Source organism: Homo sapiens, chromosome 13 (genome assembly GCF_000001405.40).
Source record: "Homo sapiens chromosome 13, GRCh38.p14 Primary Assembly".
NCBI lineage: Eukaryota > Metazoa > Chordata > Mammalia > Primates > Hominidae > Homo > Homo sapiens.
In genome coordinates this window covers 16736012-16763891 of record NC_000013.11, presented here as the reverse complement: position 1 = coordinate 16763891, position 27880 = coordinate 16736012, and the positions used below count along the sequence as shown (strand labels likewise).

Genomic DNA, 27880 nt, shown 5'->3' with positions numbered 1-27880 from the left:
CTCTGATAGGTGAGTGCATACGTCATAAAGGAGTTTCTGAGAATGTTTCTGTCTAGTGGTTATGGGAAGATATTTGCTTTTTCACCTTAGGCCTCAGAGCGCTCCAAATATCCCCTTGCACATACTATAAAAAGAGTGCTTCAAAGCTGCTCTCTGGAAGGGAATGTTCAACTCTATGAGTTGAATGCAAGCATCACAAAGACGTTTCTGAGAATGCTTCTGTCTAGATTTGATATGAAGATATTCCCGTTTCCAACGAAATCTTCAAATCTATCCAAATGTCCACTTGCAGATTCAACAAAATGTTTTTCAAAACTGCTGTATCAAAAGAAAGATCCACCTGTGTTAGCTGAGTTCACACTTCACAAACAAGTTTATCAGTATTCTTCTGTCTAGTTTTTATTTGAAGATATTTCCATTCTCACCATAGACCTGAAAGCTGTCCTAATGTTCACTTCCAGATGCTACAGAAAGAGTGTTTCAAAACTGCTGTACGAAAGGGAATATTCAACTCTGTGACTTGAATGCACACATCACAAAGAAGTTTCTGAGGATGCTGCTGTCTACTTTTTATACGTAATCCCGTTTCCAACGAAATCCTCCAAGCTATCCAAATATCCACTTGCATATTCCACAGAAAGACTGTTTCAAAACTGCTATGTCAATAGAAAAGTTCAACTCTGTTAGCTGTGTGCATATATCCCAAAGAAAATTCTGAGATTGCTTCTGTCTAGTTTTTATGGGAAGATATTTCCCTTTTCACCGTAGGTGTCAAGGCGCTCCAAATGTCCACTTCCAGATACTACAAAAAGAGTGTTTCAAACCTACTCTGTGAAAGGGAATATTCAACTCTGTGACTTCAATGCACATATCACAAAGAAGTTTCTGAGAATGCTTCTGTCGAGATTTTATATGAAGATATTCCCGTTTCCAACGAAATGCTGAAATGTATCCAAATATCCCCTCGCAGATTCTACAAAAAGAGTGTTTCAAAACTGCTCTGTGAAAAGAAAGGTTCAACTCTGTTAGTTGAGTACACACATCACAAACAAGTTTCACAGAATGCTTCTTTCTAGCTTGTAGGGGAAGATATTCCCTTTATCACCATGGGCCTCAAACCGTCCGAAACGTCCACTTCCATATACTACAAAGAGAGCGTTTCAAACCTGCTCTAGGAAAGGCAATGTTCAACTCTGTGACTTGAATGCAGACATCACAGAGCAGTTTCTGAGAATGCTTCTGTCTAGATTTTATAGGAAGATATTCCCGTTTCCAACGAGATCTTCACAGCTATCCAAATATCCGCTTGCAGATTCTACAAAAAGAGTGTATCAAATCTGCTCTGTCAAAAGGAAGGTTCTTCTCTGTTAGTTGAGTACATACGTCATAAAGGAGTTTCTGAGAATGTTTCCGTCTAGTGGTTATGGGAAGATATTTGCTTTTTCACCGAAGGCCTCAGAGCGCTCCAAATATCCACTTGCACATACTACAAAATGAGTGCCTCAAAGCTGCTCTCTGAAACGGAATGTTCAACTCTATGAGTTGAATGCAAACATCACAAAGACGTTTCCGAGAATGCTTCTTGCCTAGATTTGATATGAAGATATTCCCGTTTCCAACGAAATCTTCAAATCTATCCAAATGTCCACTTGCAGATTCAACAAAAAGTGTTTTTCAGAACTGCTCTATCAAAAGAAAGATCCATCCTCTGTTAGCTGAGTTCACACATCACAAACAAGTTTATGAGAATGCTTCCGTCTAGTTTTTATTTGAAGATATTTCCTTTCTCACCATAGACCTGAAAGCTGTCCTAATGTTCACTTCCAGATACTACAGAAAGAGTGTTTCAAAACTGCTGTACGAAAGGGAATGTTCAACTCTGTGACTTGAATGCACACATCACAAAGAAGTTTGCTGAGGATGCTGCAGTCTACTTTTTATACGTAATCCCGTTTCCAAAGAAAACCTCCAAGCTATCCAAATATCCACTTGCAGATTCCACAGAAAGACTGTTTCAAAACTGCTCTGTCAATAGAAAGGTTCAACTCTGTTAACTCCGTGCATATATCCCAAAGAAGATTCTGAGATTGCTGCTGTCTACTTTTTATGAGAAGATATTTCCCTTTTCACCGTAGGCGTCAAGGCGCTCCAAATGTCCACTTCCAGATACTACAAAAAGAGTGTTTCAAACCTACTCTGTGAAAGGGAATATTGAACTCTGTGACTTGAATGCACATATCACAAAGAAGCTTCTGAGAATGCTTCTGTCGAGATTTTATATGAAGATATTCCCGTTTCCAACGAAATCCTGAAATCTATCCAAATATCCCCTCGCAGATTCTACAAAAAGACTGTTTCAAAACTGCTCTGTAAAAAGAAAGGTTCAACTCTGTTAGTTGAGTACACACATCACAAACAAGTTTCACAGAATGCTTCTTTCTAGCTTGTAGGGGAAGATATTCCCTTTATCACCATGGGCCTCAAACCGTCCGAAACGTCCACTTCCATATACTACAAAAAGAGTGTTTCAAACCTGCTCTATGAAAGGCAATGTTCAACTCTGTGACTTGAATGCAGACATCAAAGAGCAGTTTCTGAGAATGCTTCTGTCTAGATATTATAGGAAGATATTCCCGATTCCCACGAAATCTTCACAGCTATCCAAATATCCACTTGCAGATTCTACAAAAAGAGTGTATCAAAACTGCTCTGTCAAAAGGAAGGTTCTTCTCTGTTAGGTGAGTGCATACGTCATAAAGGAGTTTCTGAGAATGTTTCTGTCTAGTGGTTATGGGAAGATATTTGCTTTTTCACCTTAGGCCTCAGAGCGCTCCAAATATCCACTTGCACATACTACAAAAAGAGTGCTTCAAAGCTGCTCTCTGAAACGGAATGTTCAACTCTATGAGTTGAATGCAAACATCACAAAGACGTTTCTGACAATGCTTCTGTCTAGATTTGATATGAAGATATTCCCGTTCCCAACGAAATCTTCAAATCTATCCAAATGTCCACTTGCAGATTCAACAAAAAGTGTTTTTCAGAACTGCTCTATCAAAAGAAAGATCCACCTCTGTTAGCTGAGTTCACACATCACAAACAAGTTTATGAAAATGCTTCTGTCTAGTTTTTATTTGAAGTATATATCCTTTCTCACTATAGACCTGAAAGCTCTCCTAAAGTTCACTTCCAGATACTACAGAAAGAGTGTTTCAAAACTGCTGTACGAAAGGGAATGTTCAACTCTGTGACTTGAATGCACACATCACAAGGATGTTTCTGAGGATGCTGCTGTCTACTTTTTATACGTAATCCCGTTTCCAACGAAATCCTCCAAGCTATCCAAATATCCACTTGCAGATTCCACAGAAAGACTGTTTCAAAACTACTATGTCAATAGAAAGGTTCAACTCTGTTAGCTGCGTGCATATATCCCAAAGACGATTCTGAGATTGCTTCTGTCTAGTTTTTATGGGAAGATATTTCCCTTTTCACCGTAGGCGTTAAGGCGCTCCAAATGTCCACTTCCAGATACTACAAAAAGAGTGTTTCAAACCTACTCTGTGAAAGGGAATATTCAACTCTGTGACTAGTATGCACATATCACAAAGAAGTTTCTGAGAATGCATCTGTCGAGATTTTATATGAAGATATTCCCGTTTCCAACGAAATCCTGAAATCTATCCAAATATCCCCTCGTAGATTCTACAAAAAGAGAGTTTCAAAACTGCTCTGTAAAAAGAAAGGTTCAACTCTGTTAGTTGAGTACACACATCACAAACAAGTTTCACAGAATGCTTCTTTCTAGCTTGTAGGGGAAGATATTCCCTTTATCACCATGGGCCTCAAACCGTCCGAAACGTCCATTTCCATATACTACAAAAAGAGCGTTTCAAACCTGCTCCATGAAAGGCAATGTTCAACTCTGTGACTTGAACGCAGACATCACAGAGCAGTTTCTGAGAATGCTTCTGTCTAGAATTTATAGGAAGATATTCCCGTTTCCAACGAAATCTTCACAGCTATCCAAATATCCACTTTCAGATTCTACAAAAAGAGTGTATCAAAAGTGCTCTGTCAAAAGGAAGGTTTCTTCTCTGTTAGGTGAGTGCATACGTCATAAAGGAGTTTCTGAGAATGTTTCTGTCTAGTGGTTATGGGAAGATATTTGCTTTTTCACCTTAGGCCTCAGAGCGCTCCAAATATACACTTGCACATACTACAAAAAGAGTGATTCAAAGCTGCTCTCTGAAACGGAATGTTCAACTCTATGAGTTGAATGCAAACATCACAAAGACGTTTCTGAGAATGCTTCTGTCTAGAATTGTTATGAAGATATTCCCGTTTCCAACGAAATCTTCAAATCTATCCAAATGTCCACTTGCAGATTCAACAAAAAGTGTTTTTCAGAACTGCTCTATCAAAAGAAAGATCCACCTCTGTTAGCTGAGTTCACACATCACAAACAAGTTTATGAGAATGCTTCTGTCTAGTTTTTATTTGAAGATATTTCCTTTCTCACCATAGACCTGAAAGCTGTCCTAATGTTCACTTCCAGATACTACAGAAAGAGTGTTTCAAAACTGCTGTAAGAAAGGGAATGTTCAACTCTGTGACTTGAATGCACACACCACAAGGAAGTTTCTGAGGATGCTGCTGTCTACTTTTTATACGTAATCCCGTTTCCAACGAAATCCTCCAAGCTATCCAAATATCCACTTGCAGATTCCACAGAAAGACTGTTTCAAAACTGCTCTCTCAATAGAAAGGTTCAACTCTGTTAGCTGCGTGCATATATCCCAAAGAAGATTCTGAGATTGCTTCTGTCTACTTTTTATGAGAAGATATTTCCCTTTTCACCGTAGGCGTCAAGGCGCTCAAAATGTCCACTTCCAGATACTACAAAAAGAGTGTTTCAAACCTACTCTGTGAAAGGGAATATTCAACTCTGTGACTTGAATGCACATATCACAAAGAAGTTTCTGAGAATGCTTCTGTCGAGATTTTATATGAAGATATTCCCGTTTCCAACGAAATCCTGAAATCTATCCAAATAACCCCTCGCAGATTCTACAAAAAGAGTGTTTCAAAACTGCTCTGTAAAAAGAAAGGTTCAACTCTGTAAGTTGAGTACACACATCACAAACAAGTTTCACAGAATGCTTCTTTCTAGCTTGTAGGGGAAGATATTTCCTTTATCACCATGGTCCTCAAACAGTCTGAAACGTCCACTTCCATATACTAAAAAAAGAGGGTTTGAAACCTGCTCTATGAAAGGCAACGTTCAACTCTGTGACTTGAATGCAGACATCACAGAGCAGTTTCAGAGAATGCTTCTGTCCAGACTTTATAGGAAGATATTCCCGTTTCCAACGAAATCTTCACAGCTATCCAAATATCCACCTGCAGATACTACAAAAAGAGTGTATCAAAACTGCTCTGTCAAAAGGAAGGTTCTTCTCTGTTAGGTGAGTGCATACGTCATAAAGAAGTTTCTGAGAATGTTTCTGTCTAGTGGTTATGGGAAGATATTTGCTTTTTCACCGTAGGCCTCAGAGCGCTCCAAATATCCACTTGCACATACTACAAAAAGAGTGCCTCAAAGCTGCTCTCTGAAACGGAATGTTCAACTCTATGAGTTGAATGCCAACATCACAAAGAACGTTTCTGAGAATGCTTCTGTCTAGATTTGATATGAAGATATTTCCGTTTCCAACGAAATCTTCAAATCTATCCAAATGTCCACTTGCAGATTCAACAAAAAGTGTTTTTCAGAACTGCTCTATCAAAAGAAAGATCCACCTCTGTTAGCTGAGTTCACACATCACAAACAAGTTTATGAGAATGCTTCTGTCTAGTTTTTATTTGAAGATATTTCCTTTCTCACCATAGACCTGAAAGCTGTCCTAATGTTCACTTCCAGATACTACAGATAGAGTGTTTCAAAACTGCTGTACGAAAGGGAATGTTCAACACTGTGACTTGAATGCACACATCACAAAGAAGTTTCTGAGGATGCTGCTGTCTACTTTTTATACGTAATCCCGTTTCCAACGAAATCCTCCAAGCTATCCAAATATCCACTTGCAGATTCCACAGAAAGACTGTTTCTAAACTGCTGTGTCAATAGAAAGGTTCAACTCTGTTAGCTGCGTGCATATATCCCAAAGAAGATTCTGAGATTGCTTCTGTCTAGTTTTTATGGGAAGATATTTCCCTTTTCACCGTAGGCGTCAAGGCGCTCCAAATGTCCAATTCCAGATACTATAAAAAGAGTGTTTCAAACCTACTCTGTGAAAGAGAATATTCAACTCTGTGACTGGAATGCAGATATCACAAAGAAGTTTCTGAGAATGCTTCTGTCGAGATTTTATATGAAGATATTCCCGTTTCCAACGAAAACCTGAAATCTATCCAAATATCCCCTCGCAGATTCTACAAAAAGAGTGTTTCAAAACTGCTCTGTAAAAAGAAAGGTTCAACTCTGTTAGTTGCGTACACACATCACAAACAAGTTTCACAGAATGCTTCTTTCTAGCTTGTAGGGGAAGATATTCCCTTTATCACCATGGGCCTCAAACCGTCCGAAACGTCCACTTCCATATACTACAAAAAGAGCGTTTCAAACCTGCTCTATGAAAGGCAATGTTCAACTCTGTGACTTGAATGCAGACATCACAGAGCAGTTTCTGAGAATGCTTTCTGTCTAGATATTATAGGAAGATATTCCCGTTTCCAACGAAATCTTCACAGCTATCCAAATATCCACTTGCAGATTCTACAAAAAGAGTGTATCAAAACTGCTCTGTCAAAAGGAAGGTTCTTCTCTGTTAGGTGAGTGCATACGTCATAAAGGAGTTTCTGAGAATGTTTCTGTCTAGTGGTTATGGGAAGATATTTGCTTTTTCACCGTAGGCCTCAGGGTGCTCCAAATGTCCACTTGCACATGCTACAAAAAGAGTGCTTCAAAGCTGCTCTCTGAAAGGGAATGTTCAACTCTATGAGTTGAATGCAAACATCACAAAGACGTCTCTGACAATGCTTCTGTCTAGATTTGATATGAAGATATTCCCGTTTCCAACGAAATCTTCAAATCTATCCAAATGTCCTCTTGCAGATTCAACAAAAAGTGTTTGTCAGAACTGCTCTATCAAAAGAAAGATCCACGTGTGTTAGCTGAGTTCACACATCACGAACAAGTTTATGAGAATGCTCTGTCTAGTTTTTATTTGAAGATATTTCCTTTCTCACCATAGACCTGAAAGCTGTCCTAATGTTCACTTCCAGATACTACAGAAAGAGTGTTTCAAAACTGCTGTACGAAAGGGAATGTTCAACTCTGTGACTTGAATGCACACATCACAAAGAAGTTCTGAGGATGCTGGCTGTCTACTTTTTATATGCAATCCCGTTTCCAACGAAATCCTCCAAGCTATCCAAATATCCACTTGCAGATTCCACAGAAAGACTGTTTCAAAACTGCTCTGTCAATAGAAAGGTTCAACTCTGTTAGCTGCGTGCATATATCCCAAAGAAGATTCTGAGATTGCTTCTGTCTACTTTTTATGAGAAGATATTTCCCTTTTCACCGTAGGTGTCAAGGCGCTCCAAATGTCCACTTCCAGATACTACAAAAAGAGTGTTTCAAACCTACTCTGTGAAAGGGAATATTCAACTCTGTGACTTGAATGCACATATCACAAAGAAGTTTCTGAGAATGCTTCTGTCGAGATTTTCTATGAAGATATTCCCGTTTCCAACGAAATCCTGAAATCTATCCAAATATCCCCTCGCAGATTCCACAAAAAGAGTGTTTCAAAACTGCTCTGTAAAAAGAAAGGTTCAACTCTGTTAGTTGAGTACACACATCACAAACAAGTTTCACAGAATGCTTCTTTCTAGCTTGTAGGGGAAGATATTCCCTTTATCACCATGGGCCTCAAACCGTCCGAAACGTCCACTTCCATATACTACAAAAAGAGGGTTTCAAACCTGCTCTATGAAAGGCAATGTTCAACTCTGTGACTTGAATACAGACATCGCAGAGCAGTTCCTGAGAATGCTTCTGTCTAGATTTTATAGGAAGATATTCCCGTTTCCAACGAAATCTTCACAGCTATCCAAATATCCACTTGCAGATTCTACAAAAAGAGTGTATTCAAACTGCTCTGTCAAAAGGAAGGTTCTTCTCTGTTAGTTGAGTACATACGTCATAAAGGAGTTTCTGAGAATGTTTCTGTCTAGTGGTTATGGGAAGATATTTGCTTTTTCCCCGTAGGACTCAGAGCGCTCCAAATATCCACTTGCACATACTACAAAAAGAGTGCTTCAAAGCTGCTCTCTGAAACGGAATGTTCAACTCTATGAGTTGAATGCAAACATCACAAAGACGTTTCTGAGAATGCTTCTGTCTAGATTTGATATGAAGATATTCCCGTTTCCAACGAAATCTTCATATCTATCCAAATGTCCACTTGCAGATTCAACAAAAAGTGTTTTTCAAAACTGCTGTATCAAAAGAAAGATCCACGTCTGTTAGCTGATGCTCTATCAAAAGAGAGATCCACCTCTGTTAGCTGAGTTCACACATCACAAACAAGTTTATGAAAATGCTTCTGTCTAGTTTATATTTGAAGATATTTCCTTTCTCACCATAGACCTGAAAGCTGTCCTAATGTTCACTTCCAGATACTACAGAAAGAGTGTTTCAAAACTGCTGTACGAAAGGGAATGTTCAACTCTGTGACTTGAATGCACACATCACAAAGAAGTTTCTGAGGATGCTGCAGTCTACTTTTTATACGTAATCCCGTTTCCAAAGAAAACCTCCAAGCTATCCAAATATCCACTTGCAGATTCCACAGAAAGACTGTTTCAAAACTGCTCTGTCAATAGAAAGGTTCAACTCTGTTAACTCCGTGCATATATCCCAAAGAAGATTCTGAGATTGCTTTCTGTCTAGTTTTTATGGGAAGATATTTCCCTTTTCACCGTAGGCGTCAAGGCGCTTCAAATGTCCACTTCCAGATACTACAAAAAGAGTGTTTCAAACCTACTCTGTGAAAGGGAATATTCAACTCTGTGACTTGAATGCACATATCACAAAGAAGTTTCTGAGAATGCTTCTGTCTAGATTTTATAGGAAGATATTCCCGTTTCCAATGAAACCTTCACAGCTATCCAAATATCCACTTGCAGATTCTACAAAAAGAGTGTTTCAAAACTGCTCTGTAAAAAGAAAGGTTCAACTGTGTTAGTTGAGTACACACATCACAAACAAGTTTCACAGAATGCTTCTTTCTAGCTTGTTGGGTAAGATATTCCCTTTATCACCATGGGCCTCCAACCGTCCGAAACATCCACTTCCATATACTACAAAAAGAGCGTTTCAAACCGGCTCTATGAAAGGCAATGTTCAACTCTGTGACTTGAATGCAGACATCACAGAGCAGTTTCTGAGAATGCTTCTGTCTGGATTTTATAGGAAGATATTCCCGTTTCCAACGAAATCTTCACAGCTATCCAAATATCCACTTGCAGATTCTACAAAAAGAGTGTATCAAAACTGCTCTGTCAAAAGGAAGGTTCTTCTCTGTTAGGTGAGTGCATACGTCATAAAGGAGTTTCTGAGAATGTTTCTGTCTAGTGGTTATGGGAAGATATTTGCTTTTTCACCTTAGGCCTCAGAGCGCTCCAAATATCCACTTGCACATACTACAAAAAGAGTGCTTCAAAGCTGCTCTCTGAAACGGAATGTTCAACTCTATGAGTTGAATGCAAACATCACAAAGACGTTTCTGGGAATGCTTCTGTCTAGATTTGATATGAAGATATTCCCGTTTCCAACGAAATCTTCAAATCTATCCAAATGTCCACTTGCAGATTCAACAATAAGTGTTTTTCAGAACTGCTCTATCAAAAGAAAGATCCACCTCTGTTAGCTGAGTTCACACATCACAAACAAGTTTATGAAAATGCTTCTGTCTAGTTTTTATTTGAAGATATTTCCTTTCTCACCATAGACCTGAAAGCTGTCCTAATGTTCACTTCCAGATACTACAGAAAGAGTGTTTCAAAACTACTGTACGAAAGGGAATGTTCAACACTGTGACTTGAAAGCACACATCACAAAGAAGTTTCTGAGGATGCTGCTGTCTACTTTTTATACGTAATCGCGTTTCCAAAGAAATCCTCGAAGCTATCCAAATATCCACTTGCAGATTCCACAGAAAGACTGTTTCAAAACTGCTCTGTCAATAGAAAGGTTCAACTCTATTAGCTGCGTGCATATATCCCAAAGAAGATTCTGAGATTGCTTCTGTCTAGTTTTTATGGGAAGATATTTCCCTTTTCACCGTAGGCATCAAGGCGCTCCGAATGTCCACTTCCAGATACTACAAAAAGAGTGTTTCAAACCTACTCTGTGAAAGGGAATATTCAACTCTGTGACTTGAATGCACATATCACAAGGAAGTTTCTGAGAATGCTTCTGTCGAGATTTTGTATGAAGATATTCCCGTTTCCAACGAAATTCTGAAATCTATCCAAATATCCCCTCGCAGATTCTACAAAAAGAGTGTTTCAAAACTGCTCTGTGAAAAGAAAGGTTCAACTCTCTTAGTTGAGTACACACATCACAAACAAGTTTCACAGAATGCTTCTTTCTAGCTTGTAGGGGAAGATATTCCCTTTATCACCATGGGCCTCAAACCATCCGAAACGTCCACTTCCATATACTACAAAAAGAGCGTTTCAAACCTGCTCTAGGAAAAGCAATGTTCAACTCTGTGACTTGAATGCAGACATCACAGAGCAGTTTCTGAGAATGCTTCTGTCTAGGTTTTATAGGAAGATATTCCCGTTTCCAACGAAATCTTCACAGCTATCCAAATATCCACTTGCAGATTCTACAAAAAGAGTGTATCAAAACTGCTCTGTCAAAAGGAAGGTTCTTCTCTGTTAGGTGAGTGCACACGTCATAAAGGAGTTTCTGAGAATGTTTCTGTCTAGTGGTTATGGGAAGATATTTGCTTTTTCACCGTAGGTCTCAGAGCGCTCCAAATATCCACTTGCACATACTACAAAAAGAGTGCTTCAAAGCTGCTCTCTGAAACGGAATGTTCAACTCTATGACTTGAATGCAAACATCACAAAGACGTTTCTGAGAATGCTTCTGTCTAGATTTGATATGAAGATATTCCCGTTTCCAAGGAAATCTTCAAAACTATCCAAATGTCCACTTGCAGATTCAACAAAAAGTGTTTTTCAGAACTGCTCTATCAAAAGAAAGATCCACCGCTGTTTGCTGAGTTCACACATCACAAACAAGTTTATGAGAATGCTTCTGTCTAGTTTTTATTTGAAGATATTTCCTTTCTCACCATAGACCTGAAAGCTGTCCTAATGTTCACTTCCAGTTACTACAGAGTGTTTCAAAACTGCTGTACGAAAGGGAATGTTCAACTCTGTGACTTGAATGCACACATCACAAAGAAGTTTCTGAGGATGCTGCTGTCTACTTTTTTATACGTAATCCCGTTTCCAACGAAATCCTCCAAGCTATCCAAATATCCACTTGCAGATTCCACAGAAAGACTGTTTCAAAACTGCTCTGTCAATAGAAAGGTTCAACTCTGTTAGCTGCGTGCATATATCCCAAAGAAGATTCTGAGATTGCTTCTGTCTACTTTTTATGAGAAGATATTTCCCTTTTCACCTTAGGCGTCAAGGCGCTCCAAATGTCCACTTCCAGATACTACAAAAAGAGTGTTTCAAACCTACTCTGTGAAAGGGAATATTGAACTCTGTGACTTGAATGCACATATCACAAAGAAGCTTCTGAGAATGCTTCTGTCAAGATTTTATGTGAAGATATTCCCGTTTCCAACTAAATCCTGAAATGTATCCAAATATCCCCTCGCAGATTCTACAAAAAGAGTGTTTCAAAACTGCTCTGTAAAAAGAAAGGTTCAACTCTGTTAGTTGAGTACACACATCACAAACAAGTTTCACAGAATGCTTCTTTCTAGCTTGTAGGGGAAGATATTCCCTTTATCACCATGGGCCTCAAACCGTCCGAAACGTCCACTTCCATATACTACAAAAAGAGCATTTCAAACCTGCTCTATGAAAGACAATGTTGAACTCTGTGACTTGAATGCAGACATCACAGAGCAGTTTCTGAGAATGCTTCTGTCTAGATTTTATAGGAAGATATTCCCGTTTCCAACGAAATCTTCACAGCTATCCAAATATCCACTTGCAGATTCTACAAAAAGAGTGTATCAAAAATGCTCTGTCAAAAGGAAGGTTCTTCTCTGTTAGGTGAGTGCATACGTCATAAAGGAGTTTCTGAGAATGTTTCTGTGTAGTGGTTATGGGAAGATATTTGCTTTTTCACCGAAGGCCTCAGAGCGCTCCAAATATCCACTTGCACATACTACAAAATGAGTGCCTCAAAGCTGCTCTCTGAAACGGAATGTTCAACTCTATGAGTTGAATGCAAACATCACAAAGACGTTTCCGAGAATGCTTCTGTCTAGATTTGATATGAAGATATTCCCGTTTCCAACGAAATCTTCATATCTATAAAATGTCCACTTGCAGATTCAACAAAAAGTGTTTTTCAAAACTGCTGTATCAAAAGAAAGATCCACGTCTCTTAGCTGAGTTCACACATCACAAACAAGTTTATGAGAATGCTTCTGTCTAGTTTTTATTTGAAGATATTTCCTTTCTCACCATAGAGCTGAAAGCTGTCCTAATGTTCACTTCCAGATACCACAGAAAGAGTGTTTCAAAACTGCTGTACGAAAGGGAATGTTCAACTCTGTGACTTGAATGCACACATCACAAAGAAGTTTCTGAGGATGCTGCTGTCTACTTTTTATACGTAATCCCGTTTCCAACGAAATCCTCCAAGCTATCAAAATATGCACTTGCAGATTCCACAGAAAGACTGTTTCAAAACTGCTCTGTCAATAGAAAGGTTCAACTCTGTTAGCTGCGTGCATATATCCCAAAGAAGATTCTGAGATTGCTTCTGTCTAGTTTTTATGGGAAGATATTTCCCTTTTCACCGTAGGTGTCAAGGCGCTCCAAATGTCCACTTCCAGATACTACAAAAAGAGTGTTTCAAACCTACTCTGTGAAAGGGAATATTCAACTCTGTGACTTGAATGCACGTATCACAAGGAAGTTTCTGAGAATGCTTCTGTCGAGATTTTATATGAAGATATTCCCGTTTCCAACGAAATGCTGAAATGTATCCAAATATCCCCTCGCAGATTCTACAAAAAGAGTGTTTCAAAACTACTCTGTAAAAAGAAAGGTTCAACTCTGTTAGTTGAGTACACACATCACAAACAAGTTTCACAGAATGCTTCTTTCTAGCTTGTAGGGGAAGATATTTCCTTTATCACCATGGGCCTCAAACCGTCCGAAACGTCCACTTCCATATACTAAAAAAAGAGTGCTTGAAACCTGCTCTATGAAAGGCAATGTTCAACTCTGTGACTTGAATGCAGACATCACAGAGCAGTTTCTGAGAATGCTTCTGTCCAGACTTTATAGGAAGATATTCCCGATTCCAACGAAATCTTCACAGCTATCCAAATATCCACTTGCAGATACTACAAAAAGAGTGTATCAAAAGTGCTCTGTCAAAAGGAAAGTTCTTCTCTGCTAGTTGAGTACATACGCCATAAAGTAGTTTCTGAGAATGTTTCTGTCTAGTGGTTATGGGAAGATATTTGCTTTTTCACCGTAGGCCTCAGAGCGCTCCAAATATCCACTTGCACATACTACAAAAAGAGTGCTTCAAAGCTGCTCTACTGAAACGGAATGTTCAACTCTATGAGTTGAATGCAAACATCACAAAGACGTTTCTGAGAATGCTTCTGTCTAGATTTGATATGAAGATGTTCCCGTTACCAACGAAATCTTCAAATCTATCCAAATGTCCACTTGCAGATTCAACAAAAAGTGTTTTTCAGAACTGCTCTTTCAAAAGAAAGATCCACCTCTGTTAGCTGAGTTCACACATCACAAACAAGTTTATGAGAATGCTTCTGTCTAGTTTTTATTTGAAGATATTTCCTTTCTCACCATAGACCTGAAAGCTGTCCTAATGTTCACTTCCAGATACTACATAAAGAGTGTTTCAACACTGCTGTATGAAAGGGAATGTTCAACTCTGTGACTTGAATGCACACATCACAAAGAAGTTTCTGAGGATGCTGCTGTCTACTTTTTATACGTAATCCCGTTTCCAACGAAATCCTCCAAGCTATCCAAATATCCACTTGCAGATTCCACAGAAAGACTGTTTCAAAACTGCTCTGTCAATAGAAAGGTTCAACTCTGTTAGCTTCGTGCATATATCCCAAAGAAGATTCTGAGATTGCTTCTGTCTAGTTTTTATGGGAAGATATTTCCCTCTTCACCGTAGGCGTCAAGGCGCTCCAAATGTCCACTTCCAGATAGTACAAAAAGAGTGTTTCAAACCTACTCTATGAAAGGGAATATTCAACTCTGTGACTAGAATGCACATATCACAAAGAAGTTTCTGAGAATGCATCTGTCGAGATTTTATATGAAGATATTCCCGTTTCCAACGAAATCCTGAAATCTATCCAAATATCCCCTCGCAGATTCTACAAAAAGAGTGTTTCAAAACTGCTCTGTGAAAAGAAAGGTTCAACTCTCTTACTTGAGTACACACATCACAAACAAGTTTCACAGAATGCTTCTTTCTAGCTTGTAGGGGAAGATATTCCCTTTATCACCATGGGCCTCAAACCGTCTGAAACGTCCACTTCCATATACTACAAAAAGATCATTTCAAACCTGCTCTATGAAAGGCAATGTTCAACTCTGTGACTTGAATGCAGACATCACAGAGCAGTTTCTGAGAATGCTTCTGTCTAGATTTTATAGGAAGATATTCCCGTTTCCAACGAAATCTTCACAGCTATCCAAATATACACTTGCAGATTCTACAAAAAGAGTGTATCAAAGCTGCTCTGTCAAAAGGAAGGTTCTTCTCTGTTAGGTGAGTGCATACGTCATAAAGCAGTTTCTGAGAATGTTTCTGTCTAGTGGTTATGGGAAGATATTTGCTTTTTCACCGTAGGCCTCAGAGCGCTCCAAATATCCACTTGCACATACTACAAAAAGAGGGCCTCAAAGCTGCTCTTTGAAACGGAATGTTCAACTCTATGAGTTGAATGCAAACATCACAAAGACGTTTCTGAGAATGCTTCTGTCTAGATTTGATATGAAGATATTCCCGTTTCCAACGAAATCTTCAAATCTATCCAAATGTCCACTTGCAGATTCAACAAAAATTGTTTTTCAGAACTGCTCTATCAAAAGAAAGATCCACGTGTGTTAGCTGAGTTCACACATCACAAACAAGTTTATGAGAATGCTTCTGTCTAGTTTTTATTTGAAGATATTTCCTTTCTCACCATAGACCTGAAAGCTGTCCTAATGTTCACTTCCAGATACTACAGAAAGAGTGTTTCAAAACTGCTGTACGAAAGGGAATGTTCAACTCTGTGACTTGAATGCACACATCACAAAGTAGTTTCTGAGGATGCTGCTGTCTACTTTTTATACGTAATCCCGTTTCCAACGAAATCCTCCAAGCTATCCAAATATCCACTTGCAGATTCCACAGAAAGACTGTTTCAAAACTGCTCTGTCAATAGAAAGGTTCAACTCTGTTAGCTGCGTGCATATATCCTAAAGAGGATTCTGAGCTTGCTTCTGTCTAGTTTTTATGGGAAGATATTTCCCTTTTCACCATAGGTGTCAAGGCGCTCCAAATGTCCACTTCCAGATACTACAAAAAGAGTGTTTCAAACCTACTCTGTGAAAGGGAATATTCAACTCTGTGACTTGAATGCAGACATCACAGAGCAGTTTCTGAGAATGCTTCTGTCGAGATTTTATATGAAGATATTCCCCTTTCCAACGAAATCCTGAAATCTATCCAAATATCCCCTCGCAGATTCTACAAAAAGAGTGTTTCAAAACTGCTCTGTAAAAATAAAAGGTTCAACTCTGTTAGTTGAGTACACACATCACAAACAAGTTTCACAGAATGCTTCTTTCTAGCTTGTAGGGGAAGATATTCCCTTTATCACCATGGGCCTCAAGCCGTCCGAAACGTCCACTTCCATATACTACAAAAAGAGCGTTTCAAACCTGCTCTAGGAAAGGCAATGTTCAACTCTGTGACTTGAATGCAGACATCACAGAGCAGTTTCTGAGAATGCTTCTGTCTAGATTTTATAGGAAGATATTCCCGTTTCCAACGAAATCTTCACAGCTATCCAAATATCCACTTGCAGATTCTGCAAAAAGAGTGTATCAAAACTGCTCAGTCAAAAGGAAGGTTCTTCTCTGTTAGGAGAGTGCATACGTCATAAAGGAGTTTCTGAGAATGTTTCTGTCTAGTGGTTATGGGAAGATATTTGCTTTTTCACCGTAGGCCTCAGGGCGCTCCAAATGTCCACTTGCACATACTACAAAAAGAGTGCTTCAAAGCTGCTCTCTGAAACGGAATGTTCAACTCTATGAGTTGAATGCAAACATCACAAAGACGTTTCTGAGAATGCTTCTGTCTAGATTTGATATGAAGATATTCCCGTTTCCAACGAAATCTTCAAATCTATCCAAATGTCCACTTGCAGATTCAACAAAAAGTGTTTTTCAGTACTGCTCTATCAAAAGAAAGATCCACCTCTGTTAGCTGAGTTCACACATCACAAACAAGTTTATGAGAATGCTTCTGTCTAGTTTTTATTTGAAGATATTTCCTTTCTCACCATAGAGCTGAAAGCTGTCCTAATGTTCACTTCCAGATACTACAGAAAGAGTGTTTCAAAACTGCTGTACGAAAGGGAATGTTCAAATCTGTGACTTGAATGCACACATCACAAAGAAGATTCTGAGGATGCTGCTGTCTTCTTTTTATACGTAATCCCGTTTCCAACGAAATCCTCCAAGCTCTCCAAGTATCCACTTGCAGATTCCACAGAAAGACTGTTTCAAAACTGCTCTGTCAATAGAAAGGTTCAACTCTGTTAGCTGCGTGCATATATCCCAAAGAAGATTCTGAGATTGCTTCTGTCTAGTTTTTATGGGAAGATATTTCCCTATTCACCGTAGGTGTCAAGGCGCTCCAAATGTCCACTTCCAGATACTACAAAAAGAGTGTTTCAAACCTACTCTGTGAAAGGGAATATTCAACTCTGTGACTTGAATGCACATATCACAAGGAAGTTTCTGAGAATGCTAATGTCGAGATTTTATATGAAGATATTCCCGTTTCCAACGAAATCCTGAAATCTATCCAAATATCCCCTCGCAGATTCTACAAAAAGAGTGTTTCAAAACTGCTCTGTGAAAAGAAAGGTTCAACTCTGTTAGTTGAGTACACACATAACAAACAAGTTTCACAGAATGCTTCTTTCTAGCTTGTAGGGGAAGATATTCCCTTTATCACCATGGGCCTCCAACCGTCCGAAACATCCACTTCCATATACTACAAAAAGAGCGTTTCAAACCTGCTCTATGAAAGGCAATGTTCAACTCTGTGACTTGAATGCAGAAATCACAGAGCAGTTTCTGAGAATGCTTCTGTCTAGATTTTATAGGAAGATATTCCCGTTTCCAACGAAATCTTCACAGGTATCCAAATATCCACTTGCAGATTCTACAAAAAGAGTGTATCAAAACTGCTCTGTCAAAAGGAAGGTTCTTCTCTGTTAGGTGAGTGCATACGTCATAAAGGAATTTCTGAGAATGTTTCTTTCTAGTGGTTATGGGAAGATATTTGCTTTTTCACCGTAGGCCTCACAGCGCTCCAAATATCCACTTGCACATACTACAAAAAGAGTGCTTCAAAGCTGCTCTCTGAAACGGAATGTTCAACTCTATGAGTTGAATGCAAACATCACAAAGACGTTTCCGAGAATGCTTCTGTCTAGATTTGATATGAAGATATTCCCGTTTCCAACGAAATCTTCAAATCTATCCAAATGTCCACTTGCAGATTCAACAAAGTGTTTTTCAGAACTGCTCTATCAAAAGAAAGATCCACCTCTGTTAGCTGAGTTCACACATCACAAACAAGTTTATGAGAATGCTTCTGTCTAGTTTTTATTTGAAGATATTTCCTTTCTCACCATAGACCTGAAAGCTGTCCTAATGTTCACTTCCAGATACTACAGAAAGAGTGTTTCAAAACTGCTGTACAAAAGGGAATGTTCAACTCTGTGACTTGAATGCACACATCACAAAGAAGTTTCTGAGGATGCTGCTGTCTACTTTTTATACGTAATCCTGTTTCCAACGAAATCCTCCAAGCTATCCAAATATCCACTTGCAGATTCCACAGAAAGACTGTTTCAAACCTGCTCTGTCAATAGAAAGGTTCAACTCTGTTAGCTACGTGCATATATCCCAAAGAAGATTCTGAGATTGCTTCTGTCTACTTTTTATGAGAAGATATTTCCCTTTTCACCGTAGGCGTCAAGGCGCTCCAAATGTCCACTTCCAGATACTACAAAAAGAGTGTTTCAAACCTACTCTGTAAAAGGGAATATTCAACTCTGTGACTTGAATGCACATATCACAAAGAAGTTTCTGAGAATGCTTCTGTCGAGATTTTATATGAAGATATTCCCGTTTCCAACGAAATCCTGAAATCTATCGAAATATCCCCTCGCAGATTCTACAAAAAGAGTGTTTCAAAACTGCTCTGTAAAAAGAAAGGTTCAACTCTGTTAGTTGAGTACACACATCACAAACTAGTTTCACAGAATGCTTCTTTCTAGCTTGTAGGGGAAGATATTCCCTTTATCACCATGGGCCTCAAACCGTCCGAAACGTCCACTTCCATATGCTACAAAAAGAGCATTTCAAACCTGCTCTAGGAAAGGCAATGTTCAACTCTGTGACTTGAATGCAGACATCACAGAGCTGTTTCTGAGAATGCTTCTGTCTAGATTTCATAGGAAGATATTTCCGTTTCCAACGAAACCTTCACAGCTATCCAAATATCCACTTGCAGATTCTACAAAAAGAGTGTATCAAAACTGCTCTGTCAAAAGGAAGGTTCTTCTCTGTTAGGTGAGTGCATACGTCATAAAGGAGTTTCTGAGAATGTTTCTGTCTACTGGTTATGGGAAGATATTTGCTTTTTCACCGTAGGCCTCAGAGCGCTCCAAATATCCACTTGCACATGCTACAAAAAGAGTGCTTCAAAGCTGCTCTCTGAAACGGAATGTTCAACTCTATGAGTTGAATGCAAACATCACAAAGACGTTTCTGAGAATGCTTCTGTCTAGATTTGATATGAAGATATTCCCGTTTCCAACGAAATCTTCAAATCTATCCAAATGTCCACTTGCAGATTCAACAAAAAGTGTTTTTCAGAACTGCTCTATCAAAAGAAAGATCCACCTCTGTTAGCTGAGTTCGCACATCACAAACAAGTTTATGAGAATGCTTCTGTCTAGTTTTTATTTGAAGATATTTCCTTTCTCACCATAGACCTGAAAGCTGTCTTAATGTTCACTTCCAGTTACTACAGAAAGAGTGTTTCAAAACTGCTGTACGAAAGGGAATGTTCAACTCTGTGACTTGAATGCACACATCACAAAGAAGTTTCTGAGGATGTTGCTGTCTACTTTTTATACGTAATCCCGTTTCCAACGAAATCCTCCAAGCTATCCAAATATCCACTTGCAGATTACACAGAAAGACTGTTTCAAAACTGCTCTGTCAATAGAAAGGTTCAACTCTGTTAGCTGCGTGCATATATCCCAAAGAAGATTCTGAGATTGCTTCTGTCTAGTTTTTATGGGAAGATATTTCCCTTTTCACCGTAGGCGTCAAGGCGCTCCAAATGTCCACTTCCAGATACTACAAAAAGAGTGTTTCATACCTACTCTATGAAAGGGAATATTCAACTCTGTGACTTGAATGCACATATCACAAGGAAGTTTCTGAGAATGCTTCTGTCGAGATTTTATATGAAGATATTCCCGTTTCCAACGAAATCCTGAAATGTATCCAAATATCCCCTCGCAGATTCTACAAAAAGAGTGTTTCAAAACTGCTCTGTAAAAAGAAAGGTTCAACTCTGTTAGTTGAGTGCACACATCACAAACAAGTTTCACAGAATGCTTCTTTCTAGCTTGTAGAGGAAGATATTCCCTTTATCACCATGGGCCTCCAACCGTCCGAAACATCCACTTCCATATACTACAAAAAGAGCGTTTCAAACCTGCTCTATGAAAGGCAATGTTCAACTCTGTGACTTGAATGCAGACATCACAGAGCAGTTTCTGAGAATGCTTCTGTCTAGATTTTATAGGAAGATATTCCCGTTTCCAACGAAATCTTCACAGCTATCCAAATATCCACTTGCAGTTTCTACAAAAAGAGTGTATCAAAACTGCTCTGTCAAAAGGAAGGTTCTTCTCTGTTAGTTGAGTACATACGTCATAAAGGAGTTTCTGAGAATGTATCTGTCTAGTGGTTATGGGAAGATATTTGCTTTTTCACCATAGGCCTCAGAGCGCTCCAAATATCCACTTGCACATACTACAAAAAGAGTGCCTCACAGCTGCTCTCTGAAACGGAATGTTCAACTCTATGAGTTGAATGCAAACATCGCAAAGACGTTTCTGAGAATGCTTGTCTGTCTAGATTTGATATGAAGATATTCCCGTTTCCAACGAAATCTTCAAATCTATCCAAATGTCCACTTGCAGATTCAACAAAAAGTGTTTTTCAGAACTGCTCTATCAAAAGAAAGATCCACCTCTGTTAGCTGAGTTCACACATCAGAAACAAGTTTATGAGAATGCTTCTGTCTAGTTTTTATTTGAAGATATTTCCTTTCTCACAATAGACCTGAAAGCTGTCCTAATGTTCACTTCCAGATACTACAGAAAGAGTGTTTCAAAACTGCTGTACGAAAGGGAATGTTCAACACTGTGACTTGAATGCACACATCACAAAGAAGTTTCTGAGGATGCTGCTGTCTACTTTTTATGCGTAATCCCGTTTCCAACGAAATCCTCCAAGCTATCCAAATATCCACTTGCAGATTCCACAGAAAGACTGTTTCAAAACTGCTCTGTCAATAGAAAGGTTCAACTCTGTTAGCTGCGTGCATATATCCCAAAGTAGATTCTGAGATTGCTTCTGTCTAGTTTTTGTGGGAAGATATTTCCCTTTTCACCGTAGGGGTCAAGGCGCTCCAAATGTCCACTTCCAGATACTACAAAAAGAGTGTTTCAAACCTACTCTGTGAAAGGGAATATTCAACTCTGTGACTTGAATGCACATATCACAAAGAAGTTTCTGAGAATGCTTCTGTCGAGATTTTATATGAAGATATTCCCGTTTCCAACGAAATCCTGAAATGTACCCAAATATCCCCTCGCAGATTCTACAAAAAGAGTGTTTCAAAACTGCTCTGTAAAAAGAAAGGTTCAACTCTGTTAGTTGAGTACACACATCACAAATAAGTTTCACACAATGCTTCTTTCTAGCTTGTAGGGGAAGATATTCCCTTTATCACCATGGGCCTCAAACCGTCCGAAACGTCCACTTCCATATACTACAAAAAGGGCGTTTCAAACCTGCTCTATGAAAGGCAATGTTCAACTCTGTGACTTGAATGCAGACATCACAGAGCAGTTTCTGAGAATGCTTCTGTCTAGATTTTATAGGAAGATATTTCCGTTTCCAACGAAATCTTCACAGCTATCCAAATATCCACTTGCAGATTCTACAAAAAGAGTGTATCAAAACTGCTCTGTCAAAAGGAAGGTTCTTCTCTGTTAGTTGAGTACATACGTCATAAAGGAGTTTCTGAGAATGTTTCTGTCTAGTGGTTATGGGAAGATATTTGCTTTTTCACCTTAGGCCTCAGATCGCTCCAAATATCCACTTGCACATACTACAAAAAGAGTGCTTCAAAGCGGCTCTCTGAACCGCAATGTTCAATTCTATGAGTTGAATGCAAACATCACAAAGACGTTTCTGAGAATGCTTCTGTCTAGATTTGATATGAAGATATTCCCGTTTCCAACGAAATCTTCAAATCTATCCAAATGTCCACTTGCAGATTCAACAAAAAGTGTTTTTCAGAACTGCTCTATCAAAAGGAAGATCCACCTCTGTTAGCTGAGTTCAGACATCACAAACAAGTTTATGAGAATGCTTCTGTCTAGTTTTTATTTGAAGATATTTCCTTTCTCACCATAGACCTGAAAGCTGTCCTAATGTTCACTTCCAGATACTACAGAAAGAGTGTTTCAAAACTGCTGTACGAAAGGGAATGTTCAACTCTGTGACTTGAATGCACACATCACAAAGAAGATTCTGAGGATGCTGCTGTCTACTTTTTATACGTAATCCCGTTTCCAACGAAATCCTCCAAGCTATCCAAATATCCACTTGCAGATTCCACAGAAAGACTGTTTCAAAACTGCTCTGTCAATAGAAAGGTACAACTCTGTTAGCTGCGTGCATATATCCCAAAGAAGATTCTGAGATTGCTTCTGTCTAGTTTTGATGGGAAGATATTTCCCTTTTCACCGTAGGCGTCAAGGCGCTCCAAATGTCCACTTCCAGATACTACAAAAAGAGTGTTTCAAACCTACTCTGTGAAAGGGAATATTCAACTCTGTGACTTGAATGCACATATCGCAAGGAAGTTTCTGAGAATGCTTCTGTCGAGATTTTATATGAAGATACTCCCGTTTCCAGCGAAATCCTGAAATCTATCCAAATATCCCCTCGCAGATTCTACAAAAAGAGTGTTTCAAAACTGCTCTGTAAAAAGGAAGGTTCAACTCTGTTAGTTGAGTACACACATCAAAAACAAGTTTCACAGAATGCTTCTTTCTAGCTTGTAGGGGAAGATATTCCCTTTATCACCATCGGCCTCAAACCGTCTGAAACATCCACTTACATATACTACAAAAAGAGCGTTTCAAACCTGCTCTATGAAAGGCAATGTTCAACTCTGTGACTTGAATACAGACATCACAGAGCAGTTTCTGAGAATGCTTCTGTCTAGATTTTATAGGAAGATATTCCCGTTTCCAACGAAATCTTCACAGCTATCCAAATATCCACTTGCAGATTCTACAAAAAGAGTGTATCAAAACTGCTCTGTCAAAAGGAAGGTTCTTCTCTGTTAGTTGAGTGCATACGTCATAAAGGAGTTTCTGAGAATGTTTCTGTCTAGTGGTTATGGGAAGATATTTGCTTTTTCACCGCAGGCCTCACAGCGCTCCAAATATCCACTTGCACATACTACAAAAAGAGTGCTTCAAAGCTGCTCCCTGAAACGGAATGTTCAACTCTATGGGTTGAATGCAAACATCACAAAGACGTTTCTGAGAATGCTTCTGTCTAGATTTGATATGAAGATATTCCCGTTTCCAACGAAATCTTCAATTCTATCCAAATGTCCACTTGCAGATTCAACAAAAAGTGTTTTTCAGAACTGCTCTATCAAAAGAAAGATCCACCTCTGTTAGCTGAGTTCAGACATCACAAACAAGTTTATGAGAATGCTTCTGTCTAGTTTTTATTTGAAGATATTTCCTTTCTCACCATAGACCTGAAAGCTGTCCTAATGTTCACTTCCGGTTACTACAGAAAGAGTGTTTCAAAACTGCTGTACGAAAGGGAATGTTCAACTCTGTGACTTGAATGCACACATCACAAAGAAGTTTCTGAGGATGCTGCTGACTACTTTTTATACGTAATCCCGTTTCCAACGAAATCCTCCAAGCTATCCAAATATCCACTTGCAGATTCCACAGAAAGACTGTTTCAAAACTGCTCTGTCAATAGAAAGGTTCAACTCTGTTAGCTGCGTGCATATATCCCAAAGAAGATTCTGAGATTGCTTCTGTCTAGTTTTTATGGGAAGATATTTCCCCTTTCACCGTAGGCGTCAAGGCGCTCCAAATGTCCACTTCCAGATACTACAAAAAGAGTGTTTCAAACCTACTCTGTGAAAGGGAATATTCAACTCTGTGACTTGAATGCACATATCACAAGGAAGTTTCTGAGAATGCTTCTGTCGAGATTTTATATGAAGATATTCCCGTTTCCAACGAAATCCTGAAATGTATCCAAATATCCCCTCGCAGATTCTACAAAAAGAGTGTTTCAAAACTGCTCTGTGAAAAGAAAGGTTCAACTTTGTTAGTTGAGTACACACATCACAAACAAGTTTCACAGAATGCTTCTTTCCAGCTTGTAGGGGAAGATATTCCCTTTATCACCATGGGCTTCCAACCGTCCGAAACATCCACTTCCATATACTACAAAAAGAGCGTTTCAAACCTGCTCTATGAAAGGCAATGTTCAACTCTGTGACTTGAATGCAGACATCACAGAGCAGTTTCTGAGAATGCTTCTGTCTAGATTTTATAGGAAGCTATTCCCGTTTCCAACGAAATCTTCACAGCTATCCAAATATCCACTTGCAGATTCTACAAAAAGAGTGTATCAAAACTGCTCTGTCAAAAGGAAGGTTCTTTTCTGTTAGGTGAGTGCATACGTCATAAAGGAGTTTCTGAGAATGTTTCTGTCTAGTGGTTATGGGAAGATATTTGCTTTTTCACAGAAGGCCTCAGAGCGCTCCAAATATCCACTTGCACATACTACAAAAAGAGTGCCTCAAAGCTGCTCTCTGAAACGGAATGTTCAACTTTATGAGTTGAATGCAAACATCACAAAGACGTTTCCGAGAATGCTTCTGTCTAGATTTGATATGAAGATATTCCCGTTTCCAACGAAATCTTCAAATCTATCCAAATGTCCACTTGCAGATTCAACAAAAAGTGTTTTTCAGATCTGCTCTATCAAAAGAAAGATCCATCTCTGTTAGCTGAGTTCACACATCACAAACAAGTTTATGAGAATGCTCTGTCTAGTTTTTATTTGAAGATATTTCCTTTCTCACCATAGACCTGAAAGCTGTCCTAATGTTCACTTCCAGATACTACAGAAAGAGTGTTTCAAAACTGCTTTACGAAAGGGAATGTTCAACTACTGTGACTTGAATGCACACATCACAAAGAAGTTTCTGAGGATGCTGGCTGTCTACTTTTTATACGTAATCCCGTTTCCAACGAAATCCTCCAAGCTATCTAAATATCCACTTGCAGATTCCACAGAAAGACTGTTTCTAAACTGCTCTTTCAATAGAAAGGTTCAACTCTGTTAGCTGCGTGCATATATCCCAAAGAAGATTCTGAGATTGCTTCTGTCTCGTTTTTATGGTAAGATATTTACCTTTTCACCGTAGGTGTCAAGGCGCTCCAAATGTCCACTTCCAGATACTACAAAAAGAGTGTTTCAAACCTACTCTGTGAAAGGGAATATTCAACTCTGTGACTTGAATGCAGATATCACAAAGAAGTTTCTGAGAATGCTTCTGTCGAGATTTTATATGAAGATATTCCCGTTTCCAACGAAATCCTGAAATCTATCCAAATATCCCCTCGCAGATTCTACAAAAAGAGTGTTTCAAAACTGCTCTGTAAAAAGAAAGGTTCAACTCTGTTAGTTGAGTACACACATCACAAACAAGTTTCACAGAATTGTTCTTTCTAGCTTGTAGGGGAAGATATTCCCTTTATCACCATGGGCCTGAAACCGTCCGAAACGTCCACTTCCATATACTACAAAAAGAGTGTTTCAAACCTGCTCTATGAAAGGCAATGTTCAACTCTGTGACTTGAATGCAGACATCACAGAGCAGTTTCTGAGAATGCTTCTGTCTAGATTTTATAGGAAGATATTACCGTTTCCAACGAAATCTTCACAGCTATCCCAATATCCACTTGCAGATTCTACAAAAAGAGTGTATCAAAACTGCTCTGTCAAAAGGAAGGTTCTTCTCTGTTAGGTGAGTGCATACGTCATAAAGGAGTTTCTGAGAATGTTTCTGTCTAGTGGTTATGGGAAGATATTTGCTTTTTCACCGAAGGCCTCAGAGCGCTCCCAATATCCACTTGCACATACTACAAAATGAGTGCCTCAAAGCTGCTCTCTGAAACGGAATGTTCAAATCTATGAGTTGAATGCAAACATCACAAAGACGTTTCCGAGAATGCTTCTGTCTAGATTTGATATGAAGATATTCCCGTTTCCAACGAAATCTTCAAATCTATCCAAATGTCCTCTTGCAGATTCAACAAAAAGTGTTTTTCAGAACTGCTCTATCAAAAGAAAGATCCACGTGTGTTAGCTGAGTTCACACATCACGAACAAGTTTATGAGAATTCTTCTGTCTAGTTTTTATTTGAAGATATTGCCTTTCTCACCATAGACCTGAAAGCTGTCCTAATGTTCACTTCCAGATACTACAGAAAGAGTGTTTCAAAACTGCTGTACGAAAGGGAATGTTCAACTCTGTGACTTGAATGCACACATCACAAAGAAGTTCCTGAGGATGCTGCTGTCTACTTTTTATACGTAATCCCGTTTCCAACGAAATCCTCCAAGCTATCCAAATATCCACTTGCAGATTCCACAGAAAGAGTGTTTCAAAACAGCTCTGTCAATAGAAAGGTTCAACTCTGTTAGCTGCGTGCATATATCCCAAAGAAGATTCTGAGATTGCTTCTGTCTACTTTTTATGAGAAGATATTTCCCTTTTCACCGTAGGCGTCAAGGCGCTCCAAATGTCCACTTCAGATACTACAAAAAGAGTGTTTCAAACCTACTCTGTGAAAGGGAATATTGAACTCTGTGACTTGAATGCACATATCACAAAGAAGTTTCAGAGAATGCTTCTGTCGAGATTTTATATGAAGATATTCCCGTTTCCAACGAAATGCTGAAATCTATCCAAATATCCCCTCGCAGATTCTACAAAAAGAGTGTTTCAAAACTGCTCTGTGAAAAGAAAGGTTCAACTCTGTTAGTTGAGTACACACATCACAAACTAGTTTCACAGAATGCTTCTTTCTAGCTTGCAGGGGAAGATATTCCCTTTATCACCATGGGCCTCAAACCGTCTGAAACGTCCACTTCCATATACTACAAAAAGAGCATTTCAAACCTGCTCTATGAAAGCCAATGTTCAACTCTGTGACTTGAATGCACACATCACAGAGCAGTTTCTGAGAATGCTTCTGTCTAGGTTTTATAGGAAGATATTCCCGTTTCCAACGAAATCTTCACAGCTATCCAAATATCCACTTGCAGATTCTACAAAAAGAGTGTATCAAAACTGCTCTGTCAAAAGGAAGGTTCTTCTCTGTTAGGTGAGTGCATACGTCATAAAGGAGTTTCTGAGAATGTTTCTGTCTAGTGGTTATGGGAAGATATTTGCTTTTTCACCGTAGGCCTCAGAGCGCTCCAAATATCCACTTGCACATACTACAAAAAGAGTGCCTCAAAGCTGCTCTCTGAAACGGAATGTTCAACTCTATGAGTTGAATGCAAACATCGCAAAGACGTTTCTGAGAATGCTTATCTGTCTAGATTTGATATGACGATATTCCCGTTTCCAACGAAATCTTCAAATCTATCCAAATGTCCACTTGCAGATTCAACAAAACGTGTTTTTCAGAACTGCTCTATCAAAAGAAAGATCCACGTCTGTTAGCTGAGTTCAGACATCACAAACAAGTTTATGAGAATGCTTCTGTCTAGTTTTTATTTGAAGATATTTCCTTTCTCACCATAGACCTGAAAGCTGTCCTAATGTTCACTTCCAGATACTACAGAAAGAGTGTTTCAAAACTGCTGTACGAAAGGGAATGTTCAACTGTGTGACTTGAATGCACACATCACAAAGAAGTTTCTGAGGAGG

At 38.9% G+C, this 27880-nt stretch overlaps 1 annotated feature.

Moving 5' to 3' along the window:
• Nucleotides 1–27880: part of a centromere (Linear centromere model derived predominantly from reads generated in PMID: 17803354. This region does not represent an actual centromere sequence, as long-range ordering of repeats and unmapped WGS contigs is not provided by the model. For details of model production, see http://arxiv.org/abs/1307.0035.) that runs on past both edges of the window.